General features: G+C 38.9%; 1 protein-coding gene across 19 annotated transcripts in view, besides 1 other annotated feature; it reads left to right on the top strand.

Moving 5' to 3' along the window:
• Positions 1 to 15,871, top strand: part of TUT7 (terminal uridylyl transferase 7) — a 66,678-nt gene that overhangs the window by 33,511 nt on the left and 17,296 nt on the right. For 17 of the 19 annotated variants that reach the window (NM_001185059.2, NM_024617.4, XM_005252207.4 and 14 more), the window contains 9 exons: positions 1,230 to 1,316; positions 1,842 to 1,942; positions 3,624 to 3,681; positions 10,091 to 10,194; positions 10,883 to 10,972; positions 11,324 to 11,437; positions 11,611 to 11,688; positions 12,294 to 12,471; positions 15,661 to 15,708. In NM_001185059.2, coding sequence (NP_001171988.1) covers positions 1,230 to 1,316; positions 1,842 to 1,942; positions 3,624 to 3,681; positions 10,091 to 10,194; positions 10,883 to 10,972; positions 11,324 to 11,437; positions 11,611 to 11,688; positions 12,294 to 12,471; positions 15,661 to 15,708 — 858 coding nt within the window. Of the gene's footprint in view, positions 1 to 1,229; positions 1,317 to 1,841; positions 1,943 to 3,623; positions 3,682 to 10,090; positions 10,195 to 10,882; positions 10,973 to 11,323; positions 11,438 to 11,610; positions 11,689 to 12,293; positions 12,472 to 15,660; positions 15,709 to 15,871 lie in introns of those variants that run through there. The other 2 variants (NM_001185074.2, XM_047423870.1) reach the window with 2 other exon arrangements.
• Positions 7,723 to 8,560: an enhancer, noted in NCBI's record as "NANOG-H3K27ac-H3K4me1 hESC enhancer chr9:88927255-88928092 (GRCh37/hg19 assembly coordinates)". NCBI's record gives its function as "activates a minimal SCP1, AML or CMV promoter by ChIP-STARR-seq in naive H9 embryonic stem cells {active_cell/tissue: H9 hESC(naive)}" and the evidence as "EXISTENCE:reporter gene assay evidence [ECO:0000049][PMID:30033119]".

Genomic DNA, 15,871 nt, shown 5'->3' with positions numbered 1-15,871 from the left:
TGTTATAAGCCAGGATACAAAGTAAGGATGAGGGTAAGGGAGCGACATTTTTTTCCAGAAGAAAGATATTTTCTGAAGAGTCTCAGTTCATAATTTTCCCAAAATCGTTGGAAGAGAGGGTAAAATCTCAATATGAATTTCAAAGTACTGTCTCTGTGAGGGGCCGAAAGTTGCCTTGCTGAGGATCTTTTATTAAGTCTTAAAATTAGAGTAGTAGCATTTCCCAGCTGGCATTCTTTGAAATGTTTTTCTAGATGGCAGTTAATAATATTTCATCACCAGAAGTATACCTAGGCCAGCGAGGGAATAACACTACACACTCCCTTCTCTCTTAGAATTCCTGGGTTATTTCCAGGACATATTAGCATATTGAAGGTATCTGAGAAATATTATTTCTAAAATTTGAACATAGAATAATTTTTGAGTAACGCTAATTAATAGCCTACTTAACAGCCCTTTAAGGAACACAAATTTGGGGAAGCATTGGTGTAGAGAGCCTTAAAGTTTTACAAAAGAAAATATTTAAAGGATAGATGTTCAGCTGCTTAAAATGAAGGAACTTGTTTCACATGGCTTCATCATAAGGTGTTCATCCGTGTCAGAAGACACGTGTTCTTAACAAGTCCTTTTTTTTTTTTTTTTGGGAAATTTTTTTTTTTTATATTATGAGCTATTAAAAAAACTAGGTTCTCCTTAGGGAAAAAAATACATGCAAATGCTCACAAACTTTTAAATTCACACTTTAGCGGGGTGGTGATTTCTGAAGGCCCTTTCTGTAACCCTGGTGTCTTTCAGGAAACCCAGGTGGAGATCCCATGTTTAAATTACTTTCCGTTTCAAGAGCACTTCTTAGATTCTTTAAAAAAGGACATCTTAAATTTTACATTACTGTTACAAAAATTAGCCAGGCATGGTGGTACATGCCTATAGTCCCAGCTACTCGGGAGGCTGAGGTGGGAAGATGGCTTGAGCCTGGGAGGCAGAGGTTGCAGTAAGCTAAGATCACACTACTGCACTGCAGCCTGGCCGACAGAACCAGACCTTATCTCAAAAATAAATAAAAAACAAACTTTACCTTGTTAATGCTATCTACTGAGAAGACACAATGATTTAGGAATTTTTAAATTTAAGCTTGTAAGTTTTATTTTCTAAAAAATAAATTTTTTTCAGCTTTTTCTAAGAGTGTCAACCGGCTTATTTTGTCAATATGTCTATTTATTTTTAAACAGAGGATTTTTCTCCAACAATTATAGAAGATCAGGCTCGTGAACATATTCGGCAAAACCTAGAAAGTTTCATAAGACAGGACTTTCCAGGTAAATGATTTATTTTTTATTTTTAAGAAAAGTAGTGTAACCTTTTTTCCAAATCAGTTCATGTGTTACAAGCACACTGATTTTGAGAATCAGGATTTCCATTGTTTTGCAATATACCCAGGATGGTCCTTGGTCTGCCAAATCCTCATTTACCAACAGAAACAGTGTAGGGTTTATTCTAGCAAGTGCCATAAGTGAATTTCATTTAATACTATGTTTAGAGTCAAAGTTAAGCTTACATTATTAAATGTGTTGAGGTGATCTAACATTTTCCTTGAAATGTCTTTGCATTTAAGAATAAAGGAGCACCTGGTAATCTTTCTTGCCATATACAGCTTGTATGTAAAGGAAGCTTTGAGAGAAAAAGACTTTAGCATAAATGACCAGTTAATCAGAGAACATAAGTATGAGATTAATATAGGATAATTAAACAACTGGGTGTTTTTGATTCATGAGAGGGCCATTTTGATCAAAAATTAAATGTACTCAGGTAATTAGTTATTACTTTTCATATATCCCTAACAGGAACTAAATTGAGCCTGTTTGGCTCCTCCAAAAATGGATTTGGGTTCAAACAGAGTGACCTTGACGTCTGTATGACAATTAATGGACTTGAAACTGCTGAGGTACAGTGACCACATAAAACTTCCATTTGCTGTGGCAGTGTGATTTAACCAATCTAGACTGGCATTACAGCTTGGTATTTTCCAAATTTATCAGGGCATACCATATAGAGTGTGCTGTTTGGCACAGTCTCTGGCCAAATACATTAAGAGGCTTGGAAAGGTTGTGAGGAATGTGAGGAGCAGAAAGGTTATACTTTCACTCTGTAGCAAAAAGTGGATTGGAAAGTGTTGCCTGGGAATTCTACATAGCCAAACCAGCCTCTTCAGTGTCCCATTGGCTTGGCTACTATGCTGACTTGGATCACACACTCACATAAGGTTACCTGTAAAGTTTGTTACCAGACAGGCAGTGTGGTAAATCATAAGAGTACTAACCTTAGAGTCCAGAGGCCTGGATTTGAGACAAACTTGTTTCATCAGTACCTAAACATGTGGTCTTTGGTAAATAATCGATAAAGTATAATATCTGTTCCTCCTGCCTCCGCTGATTTTTGTACACATTATCATGGATCATGTGGGTCAGGAGTTAGCAAACGATGGCCCTTGGGCAATTCAGCCCCCCACTGCCTGTTTTTGTAAATAAAGTTTTATTGGGACAGAATCACACCCATTCACATATGTAATGTCTATGGCTGCCTTCACTCTTAAGTACAGAGTTTAGTAGTTGTAAGAGACCATATGGCGTGCAAAGCAAAACAAACTTGCCAGCCCCTGGGATATCTGAAGGCATTTATAAAATATAAAACACTATATAAAGGTATAAAGTCTAGGAAGTGCTGAGTCCCTATTCTTTTAAATCCTTAACAGCAGTCCAAATGCTAAATATCCAAATGAATGATGCTGCTGTTGCTGAAGACCTTTTTGTACCTTTTCTTAGTTTCAAGTCTTTCTATTTTGAGGATGTATCTGATTTGGGAAAATAGTCAAAAGTGATCTAGCCTGAATTTGAATAAAGTATATAAGCAAGATTGGCTCAACATATGGAATGACCCTATCATACATCCTCAAGGTTTATTTATTTATTTATTTTTTTACATGGCTTATAAACTAGTTTTGAGGGCATTTCTAAAGTAACATTCCACGTATGTTCTGGGATTTTTATAACCATCAAAAAGGCGTATGTTGAGTCAGCCCAAATGTTTTTAAGAATGATTTATCAAATACTATTTATATTTGCTGTATGACTTTAGTTATATGCATTATAATTCTGGCTAGTCCTATAGGGAAATAATTTGAGCTTAATCACTCTCCACAGCAATTCATCAACTCTTAAACTATAGAAGGTCTGCTTAGAATGAATGAGCTGGGGCACAGAAGCCTCCTCTCATTTATTCTGGGACATGGGGTACATCCGAGTGATATTATGTGGAGGGGAAGAAATGAAGGTCCTCAACCATGGTTCAGAGACTTTTTTGGAAGCCCTAGGTCCATAAGCTTCCTGACTGATTTTAGCCTTTGTTGCACACCCAAAAACAATTAGGAAGTAGGGTATTTAGTGGTTTTTGTACCGTCAGGATATTTCCTGTGAATACTGACTCTAATACCCAACTAGAAAGGAAAAAAATAGATATAGACTGACTTGAAATTAATTACATTATTTCTGAAGGTAATGGAAACTATAGCCAGTTTCAGAACCTGTCTTCCAGTTTTGGTTAAGTTCTTTATGCCTTCTTTGTTGTAGGGATTGGACTGTGTCAGAACTATTGAAGAATTAGCAAGAGTCCTCAGAAAACATTCAGGTACCTCTGTAAACTTTTTCTAAAAATATTTCTGACTTTTTAATTAGTGTTTTCTATAGTCTTCCCTTGGTATCCATGGGGTATTTGTTCCAGGCCCACCCATCACCCCTCAACCCTCCCTTCCCCAGCAGATAAAAAAAATCCTTAGATGCTCAAGTTCCTTATATAAAATGGCATAGTATTTACATATAACCTATATGCATCCTTCCATATAGTTTTAGTCATCTCTAGGTTACTTATAATACCTAATACAGTGTAAATACTATGTAAATAGTTGTTATACTGTATTTTTTATTTGTATTTTTTTATTGTTGTATCGTTAGTTTTTTATTAGTTGCTTTTTTCTCTTAAATATTTTTGGTTTGTGTTTGATTGGATATGGGGATGCAGGACCCACAGACATGAAAGGCCAATTGTATTTAGAGTTTATTAATGCCATGAAGCAGTATAGTGGCTCATTCATAGAATAATTGCAATATTAATGTCTTTTTAAAATCTTGTATGCGTAAGTATGAAAGACTGAGGAATTGGTGATAATTTATATGCATATTGTTGCCTAGCTCAGTTTTATTTCAAGACAAAGCCTACGCCAGACAGGCAAGAAAGGCTATAAATCCTTTTCCTTTGTTGGCGTTGTATAAGTCAAAGTGTAGGAGTTGCTAATTGTGTGAAGTGTCAAGGAAAGCACCCCGGACTGGGCTTGTGGGTTGAATTTGCAGCTGTTCTGCTCAACAAGCTGTATATGACCCTGAACAAGTCCTTCACTTGAAGCGATCTCTTTTTTTAAGAAATGGGATCTTGCTAGGTTGTCCAGGCTAGTCTCTGAACTCCTGGGCTCAAGTGCCTTGGCCTCCCAAAGCACTGGGATTACAGGTGTGAGCCACTACGCTTGGCCTGATCTCTTTTTTTCATTGATAAATTGAGGCAACTGGACTGGATAATTATTCTAGAGTATTTACAGCTATAAAATGTATAGATTTTGTAAACCATGCACAGAATTGAAATGCTGTTAACGTATCCTTTTGTTGTCATGGCAGCTATGGATACCATTAACAGTGAAAAATCTTCTTTTAAAATGTAGTTCAGCAAACTTCTGTGCTAAGAGCTGAAAATGAAAGTGAACAATATATGGCCCCTATCCTCAGGAACTTAAAATCCATGGTCTGTCCATGAAAAGTTTTTGTACATTTCGGTTAGGAACAGACTTTAAGTCACAGCATGAACGTGCACACACACCTAGACACACACATATATACACCTTGGGTGCCACTTTTCTTTGAAATTTTTTCCCCAGGAGTTAATAAAGTACATACCATGTTGTTTAAATAACAGGAGGAAAAAAAATCTTAATTTTGGTTTATTCCCAATAAAAATTAACCTAAAGTATACAGAAATTGGGTTAGGCTTTGTTTTTTTAAATGTACATTGATTTGTTCACAGAGGGCAGAACAATATAAAAAAAAAAGAAAAAAAGTGCATTGATATACTTTTCTTTGGTCATTGAAGTAAACATTTCCCTTAACTTGGGAATTCCACCTCTAAAGATCATGTGTTTTGTTTTGTTTTGTTTTGTTTTGAAGGTCGTGCAAAGAAACTGAAGTACTAAGTTAGCGTGACTATTAATTTTTTAGTACTGAGCTAGATTTTAACTTTGTGTTTTGAAATAATTTAATTTCACATTTAAAGGAAAGCAGCAAAAGTTGCATAAAGAGTTCCACATATAACTTTTATTCAGATCCACCAATTAACATTTTCCATATTTGATTCATCATTCCATCTTTTGCTTGCTCTCAATTTCTTCCTGTACCATTTGAGATTAAGCTATAGACATTATGTCCTTTCCCCTAAATACCTCAGTATATATTTCCTAAGAAGGAACGATGTTAAAAACAGATCATTTTTAGATTAGAAATGACTTAGGCACACAGATGATTTATAATAATAATGGAATGCAGATTGCCTGGAACAAGAATTTCGTAACAGCTAGAGGGCTGTGTTTAAAACTTCATATCTTTAAAACAGTCTCCCCAGGTATTTTATTGGGTGCCTCCTATGTGCACAGCACTGTGTTGGGCACTTAGGGATGGTGGAAAAGTAAAAAAATCTGTATGTTTTTTTTGTGAAAGCTTCCATATCTTAAGAGGTAAGGTAATCTTCCAAACTATGTAACAATGTAAGGTAATATTCAATTAAATAACTTCTAAGAAGAGAGAATGTGGGAAAGAGTTGCACAGGGGAGGTTGATGGAAGAGATGGAGGTTGCTATGATCTCAGATGATGGTGAACACGATTTGAAAAGGATGGGAAAAGAAATCATTTCTAAGTGCATAGATGTGAATGTGAGACTGTGGGATATTTTGGAGAGCAGTGAGAAGATTGGTACATTTGGAGATTTTCAAATGGGAAATACTAGGAGATAAGATGAAGTCTATAGATATTTGGAAGCACTGAAGTTTCTTCAGGAGGGAAAGGACCCAATAAAAGCATAACATAAGGTTTTTAGGCAGCTGGTGTGGTATTTTAGGGAAGGTATAATGTAGACAACAGGGCAGCAGGACCTCAGCCAGGGTGCCACTGGTGCTAACAGGAAAAAGATATGAGAGATTCCAAGTGGGAAAATTTCCTAGATTTGGTACCTGCAAGTAGGAAGTAAGGATTGAGGTCACTATCTGGGTTATTTGAGAACCAGGAATGTTTGCAGAGAACACCTGTGTGAAAGTGTTTAGTTTGCCATGAGCATATAATCTCCAAGACTTAACATTCCAGAAAACAATTAGAAATATGGGGTTGCCAGTCAGAATTGAAGATGAAAATAAAACAGTTTTTTTGCATTGAAAGCCTTGAAGAAAAAGAGAGAGATTGAGAGAAAGAGACTAGACAGAAATTAAGAAAAGAGACTGAAAAGGAACTGGGAAGATATGCTGTGAATAAATCCGAGACTTTGAAGTGTGGTAATGATCAACAGTGTCAAATTCCAGAATGGGAAGGATGTGAAGAAAAGGGCCTCTGTCTAATTTAGAGGCGAGATAGCAAAGTACTAGGTGGAGGTTCTGGAATCAGACTCTGATTTTAAATTCTGTCTCCCCCTTGCTGGCTGTGCAATCCCAAAAAGTCACTCAGCTTCATAACAAGCACTCAGTTCCTCATCTCTAAAGTGGAAATAACAATTCTATGGCATTTAAGAAAGATAATACGTAAAGTGCAAAGCCTAGCATATTCTAAGTATTCAGTAAAGTGAGCTTCCTTGCCCCCTTTCCCCATCAGATTAAGTTTCATTTCCTCTGTCTGCCACACAGATTTTTTCCTGAAATGTCTTCTACCTACTTATTTTCTCCTGTGTTCTATGATGTGATCACTATGTATCTGCTTTTTAGGAACCACCACTTAGCTCTCTCAGAAGAAACTCAAACTCTGACATCTCAGAATGAGCTTATCTTTCACTTTACCGCTTCCCTTCTGCAGGAACCAACTCCATTAATCTGCCCTTCCTTGTGAATCCTTTTTCATGGTTGTTGATATTGGCATCCTTGGAATCAATAAAACGGGTGAAATGATAATTAGCCTGACCCACACTAGGTTCAGTATAAGTTGGGAGTCAATCTTACCTAGATTTGAATTCCGGCTCCACAATTTACCAGCTGCATATTCCTAAGCTAGTGAATCTTTCTGGGTCTCTGTTTCCTCATCTGTAAGATGAGGGTGATAAACCTAAGGAGGTAATGTTTGTAAAGGACTCTTCACATATCCCTATCACACATTAGGTGCTCAGGAAGTGGTAACTCTTACTCTGAAAGCCCTGATCCTCTCTTACTACCCCTAGCTTCCCATCCAGTTACAGATGCTCTCAAACATGCCTTGCTTCTTCTGTGTATTCCCATGCCACCATGAAAGTTCACACCCAGTTGTTTTTCATAAGTGGTCACCCTGCCTCTGTTCCTGGTGCCTCCAGTCTGTCCACTGCCAGGGTTATTGTCTAACTAGATGTGGTCAGTGATTCCTCCCAACTTAGACCAGTTCATTGGCTCCTCTTTGATTCTAAGGATAATTCTTTTTATTTATTTATTTATTTATTTATTTATTTATTTATTTATTATTGATCATTCTTGGGTGTTTCTCGCAGAGGGGGATTTGGCAGGGTCACAGGACAATAGTGGAGCAGCATAATAAACTTGTTTATCTGGTCAGCAGATAAACAAGTGAACAAAGGTCTCTGGTTTTCCTAGGCAGAGGACCCTGCGGCCTTCTGCAGTGTTTGTGTCCCTGGGTACTTGAGATTAGGGAGTGGTGATGACTCTTAACGAGCATGCTGCCTTCAAGCATCTGTTTAACAAAGCACATCTTGCACCGCCCTTAATCCATTCAACCCTGAGTGGATACAGCAGGTTTCAGAGAGCACAGGGTTGGGGGTAAGGTCACAGATCAACAGGATCCCAAGGCAGAAGAATTTTTCTTAGTACAGAACAAAATGAAAAGTCTCCCATGTCTACCTCTTTCTACACAGACACGGCAACCATCCGATTTCTCAATCTTTTCCCCACCTTTCCCCGCTTTCTATTCCACAAAACCGCCATTGTCATCATGGCCTGTTCTCAATGAGCTGTTGGGTACACCTCCCAGATGGGATGGTGGCCGGGCAGAGGGGCTCCTCACTTCCCAGTAGGGGCGGCCGGGCAGAGGCGCCCCTCACCTCCCAGACGGGGCAGCTGGCCGGGCGGGGGACTGACCCCCCCACCTCCCTCCCGGATGGGGTGGCTGCCGGGTGGAGACGCTCCTCACTTCCCAGACGGGGTGGCTGCCGGGCGGAGGGGCTCCTCACTTCTCAGACGGGGCGGCTGCTGGGCTGAGGGGCTCCTCACTTCTCAGACTGGGCGGTTGCCAGGCAGAGGGTCTCCTCACTTCTCAGATGGGGCGGCCGGGCAGAGACGCTCCTCACATCCCGGACGGGGCGGCAGAGCAGAGGCGCTCCCCACATCTCAGACGATGGGTGGCCGGGCAGAGACGCTCCTCACTTCCTAGATGGGATGGCGGCCGGGAAGAGGCGCTCCTCACTTCCTAGATGGGATGGTGGCCGGGCAGAGACGCTCCTCACTTTCCAGACTGGGCAGCCAGGCAGAGGGGCTCCTCACATCCCAGACGATGGGCGGCCAGGCACAGATGCTCCTCACTTCCCAGACGGGGTGGCGGCCGGGCAGAGGCTGCAATCTCAGCACTTTGGGAGGCCAAGGCAGGCGGCTGGGAGGTGGAGGTTGTAGCGGGCCGAGATCACGCCACTGCACTCCAGCCTGGGCACCATTGAGCACTGAGTGAACGAGACTCCGTCTGCAATCCCGGCACCTCCGGAGGCCAAGGCTGGCGGATCACTCGTGGTTAGGAGCTGGAGACCAGCCCGGCCAACACAGCGAAACCCCGTCTCCACCAAAAAAATACGAAAACCAGTCAGGCGTGGCGGCGCGCACCTGCAATCGCAGGCACTCGGCAGGCTGAGGCAGGAGAATCAGGCAGGGAGGTTGCAGTGAGCCGAGATGGCAGCGGTACAGTCCAGCTTCGGCTCGGCATCAGAGGGAGACCGGCATCAGAGGGAGACCGTGGAAAGAGAGGGAGAGGGAGACCGTGGGGAGAGGGGAGAGGGAAGAGGGGAGAGGGAGAGGGAGAGGACTAAGGATAATTCTTAGCAAAATGTGTATGTTCTGTAGTTGGACCTTTCCCAGTTTCTCCACCATCTCCTATGCCTCATATTCCATTCCCTCAAGTTCATTCGGCAACCTATGCAATTCTCTGGAACTTCCCTGAACGTACCATTCTATTTCAGGCATCTACACTTTTTGTGTACAGTTTGCCTTGCCTGGTAAATTTGCTCAACTGCCACTATTTTTGCTGGTTTTTCTCCCTCTTTTTCAAAGCTTAGCTCAGGCAATTTCCTCTCTCCTATTGAAGTTAATTCCTATTAACTTCATAACTTCTAGCTTTAAGGTGAGTAACTTGTTTGGAGGATAATCGTCCCTTAGGCTGTTCTCCAAATTAGATATAGTCACATGGAGAGAACAGGTGGGAACCACATAGTTCAGACTCTATAGTAGTTTCCTCTGTTTGGTATTTGTCTTAGTGACAACGACATACACATGCATATACACACATGCACACGTGTGCACATACGATCCAGTAAGTTCCCAGAGGGGAGTGACTGTTTGATTCTTGTAGTTCTAATATCAATATGTTTAATAAATGTAAACTTTGCCAGACTAATCTTCCCAGATGTTTGTTAATAACAGAATTCTTTGACAAGTCCTAATGAATGCAATGAAACAGGCCAAAGTTAGGTTTACACCATTTTATATTGGAACATTAACATAAGAGTTACTTATATCCCCAGCTGCTGTATTTAATGATAACATTTTATTTCCCAACTTAGGTCTGAGAAACATCTTACCTATTACAACAGCAAAGGTGCCAATTGTGAAGTTCTTCCATTTGAGAAGTGGTCTGGAAGTAGATATCAGTTTGTATAACACATTGGTAAGATTTTTTTCAGGCTTTTTGTTTAGAGAGGTTAAGGGAACAAATGTCTCACCTTGCAAAAACCTCAAGTTAAAGAAGTCACATTCATTTCATCTTAGTGAATCTTTCAAGAGTTATTATGCTTACTTGCTGTGAACCTGGCAGTGTTCTGAGGCTGAGGATTCTAAGATAATTCAGATATGTTTCAGGGATTTATAGGACCTCTCTGACCCTTTAGGGGTGTTTGTGCAGAGAGATCTTATATCTACTGAAAGGGAACTGATTGTTTATTTCACCAGCCCTTATTTTCTAGATGTTCAGACCAAGGACGTATAAAAGCCATGAGGTCAGATGTTACTTATAATTCTTTATTATTATCTAGTAAGTTAATGAAGATTGTCTTTAGGGAAAAAAAAAAGGTTAATTTCAGTTGAAATGTCTTCTTCCTAAAATGAATCAGACTGTAAACCTATTTAAAATATTCCAGTTTAAAATCTTTTCATCTAGGCTCGCATGGTGGCTCATGCTTGTAATCCCAGCACTTTGGGAGGCTGATGGGGGAGGATCACTTGAGCCCAGGAGTTCATGACCAGCCTGGGCAACATAGTGAGATCCCATCTCCATTATTTAAAACAACAACCAAAAAAAAAAAAGAGACCCTTTACACTTCATTGTTAGTCTTATAGTGTTATTTTCCTTTTAACAGGCCCTTCATAACACAAGGCTTTTATCTGCTTATTCCGCCATTGATCCCAGAGTGAAGTATTTGTGCTATACCATGAAAGTATTTACAAAGGTGAGTATGCTTCCTATTGTGACTTATCAGGAAATTTCATTGCATCTTTAAACACTGTTGAAAACATAAATCTATTTTTTAATGAACTGTAGTCATGTGAAATGCTTCATGTAGCTATTTGGGAGACCCTATGAAGAAAGCTAAAATTTTGTTCTGAATTTTATACAATGACCTGATCTTGCACGTAGCCAGCTGTCCACTGCTTTGCTAGGTTGGATTGGTTTTGCCTTTGACAATGTGATTTTTATATTAGTTCTCAAAATATGCACTTTACTTTTAGTGATAACAGAATGGATGCAAAGTTAGCAGAAAACAGACCTTTCCTTTGTTCTTGGTTTTCCTTCTGTCTAGATGTGTGATATTGGTGATGCATCTAGAGGCAGCTTATCATCGTATGCATATACTCTTATGGTGCTATATTTTCTCCAGCAGAGGAATCCACCAGTCATTCCTGTCCTTCAAGAGGTATTAGTGAATGAAATTGTATTTCTTATCTGGAAAACTGGTGATCTCTGAGCCTTTCTCCTCCTCTAAAATTCTGTGGTTCTGTAGTTAATTTTTTACCTATTTTCCTAGAAGTTTTTGTATCAATGCATTAAGTTTGTAATCCATACTAATAGTTTAAAAATTAATTTCAGATATACAAAGGTGAAAAGAAACCTGAAATATTTGTTGATGGCTGGAATATTTATTTTTTTGATCAAATAGATGAACTGGTACGTATTTTAAGAGTAAAGATTTTCCTATATCCTTGACTAAAAATTAGCTATACTACAGTGTAGATGTTCAACAACTATTTTATTGCTTGTTGTATTTATATATCTTATGATAGTAAAAAAAATAGTGTTTTCAGATGCTTTCTTTGATGTGAAAATATTTTTACTAAGCCAAGTGAATTTCTAGGGCCTATATCCAGTATTTCTTTAATGCCTAATAATTCCAAATGGTTAAGTAACTTTATTCCAAGTGAATGAATATTTGTTCTGTGGTTTTTGTACCCAGAGTTTAGAAAGACTTTCAATGAGCTAAAGAGATCTAATAACCTACGTATTACCAAGGCTCTTAGAATCTATTTCTGGATCTTCTGACTAATATGTTCTGAGACTTGACACTGAAAACTCTGAGCTCTTCCTACTCCAAGTCACAGAGTAGAGATTAATAAACTTATGTAAATTATGTTTTTAAATATGAAAGAAAAGTTGCATAATTGAGCTCTAGTTAATTAGAAATAAATCCAAATTTACTCCCTAAAATACAAATGAATATTGATATTAACACTTCACTAAAGACCATGGTATCCCTTGTTCCCTTCTATTTCTAGCCTACCTATTGGTCAGAATGTGGAAAAAATACAGAATCTGTTGGGCAGTTATGGTTGGGCCTTCTTCGTTTCTACACAGAGGAATTTGATTTTAAAGAACATGTTATTAGCATCAGGAGAAAAAGTCTGCTTACAACTTTTAAGAAACAGTGGACCTCAAAATACATTGTTATTGAAGGTACGAATAAAATTAAACTTGAAGTCGAATAGACTATAGAGCTTGAACTATAAGGACATTGTTCTTCCTCCTTGCAGAGCTCTTCCAGCTGCTTGGGGTGTGCAGTGCCCCAGTCTCATTGTCCATACCAGGCCAACTTTTCTCTTTCCAGCCTTAAGATTTGTTTTTTAAATGACTGAAGCCATTTCACCATGACAAATTTTTTGCTATTGTTGGACACATACTGAAGGATAAGGCAGCAGTAGTGATAAGGCAGCTTCAAGAAAGTGGGACTTCTACAACCTTCCTGTTGGGGGGTTTGAAGAGTGCCGCTAAGTGAATTTTCAAGATCTTCATTCGCTATTGATGGAGTTCACCTATAAGTAATTGTATATAAATTTTGACATTTATTTTGACCATATGGAAGCCTTTTCTTTTTCTATTTTTTAGTTTTTGAGATGGAGTTTCGCTCTTGTTGCCCAGGCTGGAGTGCAGTAGCGCTATCTCGGCTCACTGCAACCTCCGCCTCCTGGGTTCAAGCAATTCTCCTGCCTCAGCCACCTGAGTAGCTGGGATTACAGGGACCCACCACCACAACTGGCTAAATTTTTGTACTTTTAGTAGAGATGGGGTTTCACCATGTTGGCCAGGCTGGTCTTGAACTCCTGACCGCAGGTGATCACCCACCTCGGCCTCCCAAAGTGCTGGGATTACAGATGTGAGCCACTGCGCCTGGCCACCTTATCTTTTTCTATTGAATGTAGTGATCTATTGGAGCCATTGATGCTAATAGTTGATTGTTTATTTCCAATTTGTGGGATTCTTATTTTAAGACAAAATGGAATTTAAATGCTTTAGCTGAGAAATGACCTAAGAAATATTTTTTTAATTTTAATAAGATTTTTAAATGTTTATCTTTTAATATGTTTGTATCACATAAATAATACGTACTATTCTAAGTTGTGGTTTTATTATTATTTCTGCCTATTGGCAGTATTAAAATACAATGAACTTTTGTAAAATGAATTTCAGATCACCATGGGTTACAGATATAGTTTTGACTTTTTAAAGATCTCATGTGTCAAACACATAGAATTTTTGACTTACTACGCCTTTTCGTTATCACTGCAGTTCTTATCATCTGTCACTTATTAAGGTATTCCTTTTTTTTTTTTCTTGAGACAGTCTCACTTTGTCTTCCAGGCTGGAATGCAATGGCGCAATCTTGGCTCACTGCAACCTCCACCTCCCGGGTTCAAGTGATTCTTGTACCTCAGCCTCCTGAGTAGCTGGGATTACAGGTGCCGTGCCACCACGCCTGGCTAATTTTTTTGTATTTTTAGTAGAGACGGGGTTTCACCATGTTGGCAAGGCTAGTTTCGAACTCCTCAGCTCAGGTGATCCGGCCCACTTCAGCCTCCCAAAGTGCTGGGATTACAGGCGTGAGCCACTGTGCCCGGCCTATTAATGTATTCTTTTTTAAGTTTTGAAGGTTTATTATCTTTTGCTTCTAATTCTTACATTACTTTCAGACAAGCAGTTAGTAATAGGCTAAACTAAAAAGAAGGCTTCATTCATAATCATATAACCAGCTATTTTAGAATTGAGGCATTTCAGTGGTGATAGTAGTCGTTTGTTTTTGTTTTTGCGGGGGACAGAGTCTCACTGTCTCGCCCAGGCTGGAGTGTAATGGTGCGATTTCAGGTCACTGCACCCTCCGCTTCCTGGGTTCACCCGTTGTCAGCCTCCAGAGTAGCTGGGACTACAGGCACACACCACCAAGCCTGGCTAATTTTTGTATTTTTAGTAGAGAGAGTGTTTCACCATGTTGGCCAGGCTGATCTTGAACTTCTGACCTCAGGTGATTAGCCCACCTCAGCCTCCCAAAGTGCTGGGATTACAGGCGTGAGCCACAGCACCCAGCCAGTAGTAGTTTCTTTAACTGCACAGTAGCTAATATTGTAGTATCTCCACTACACCAAGCAAATAACCAAAAATACACATACACATATAAAAATCACTTGAAGAAAGAATGACCAAACTGATGAAGGTAACCTTCTCATAGCAATAATTACTGCAGGGTTGAGCTGAAGGAAGGGTCCTATACTTCGATAAACTGATAGTCTCAATCTCAATATGGTACACCTCAGTTACCGTTCACTAGAAGCATACCTGGCAAGTGGAAGATGCCACTTTTTACTTCTTTACTTCTCTTGTGTATGCTATATCCATGCAGTCCTTCATTTTCTCAATAAGAGGATTCCCGAAAAAAGGTCATCGCTTTTTTCTCTTTGCCTTCTTGAATATTGTTTTAGGGATGTGAAAAATAGAAGTTAGATATCTACACATAATGTCTAAATTATGAATCATGGGTGTATGTTATTTTAGATCACTTATAAAACAGTATTTGGATTTAGAAATAGTGCTTTTAACCCCATTTATTTCATGAGACAGTTTATTCACACCTCACATAAATCTTTGACATTAGCATTGTTTTCATCATTCCTACCATTTTCTGGGTTATTTAACAAACAGTATTCCAAAACATATCCTATATACAGCTATCTAAGATGTTTCAGATGCAGACATGTAAGATCAAATGAGAGTCTATATTAAGCTTTTACTAGAAATTGTATCCCAAGATCCAGGTAGCCAATGGCATGCCATTGGGACAGATGTATATATCTGTGTGTTTTATAAGTGTGTTTTGTAATCTCCATCATGAATTATTTTCTGAAGTGATCTTTAAGAAATTTGTTACATAGTGGGAACATTTAGTGCCAAAATGTTTTAAATGTATTTATAACTTCTATATACATCCAAAACTAGTGTCATTAAGTAATATCAGGCTAATGTGTCTTCTGCAAACAGTATTTTGTTCAAAAATAGGCAGCCAGTCATAACATAAAGAGCTTTATAATGATTTAAATATAAAGTAGTACACTCTATTCTGATGAACAGTGTAGTGGAAAAACTTGCCTTCTGTTTAGGAATATGTATTGCTTAGCTTTATTATAACTTCTAAGCTCATTTAACAGGTGTCATTTTAAACTTTTTTTTGCACTTCTTTTCTATCATGTGAATTTAAAACTTATTAATGATAAGCAAAGTAGATGATATTCTTGTCTTGTTTTATGAACTTTACTTATTGGATGAATGGTGGCATTTTCTATTTGATTACCTTATTTGCTCTTAAATTTTTTTGCTTAGATCCCTTTGATTTGAATCATAATCTTGGAGCTGGATTATCAAGGAAAAGTGAGTTACTTCGTTTGTCAATTTTATTTTTTATTTTACTTATGTATTTACTTTTATAATAGAGACAGGGTCTTGCTTTTATTGCCCAGGCTGGTCTCAAACTCCTGGGCTCAAGTGATCCACCTACCCCAGCCTCCCAGAGTGCTAGAATAACAGGCGCCAC

This window comes from Homo sapiens, chromosome 9, assembly GCF_000001405.40.
Source record: "Homo sapiens chromosome 9, GRCh38.p14 Primary Assembly".
Taxonomy (NCBI): Eukaryota; Metazoa; Chordata; class Mammalia; order Primates; family Hominidae; genus Homo; species Homo sapiens.
This window is presented reverse-complemented; position numbering and strand designations above follow the sequence as displayed.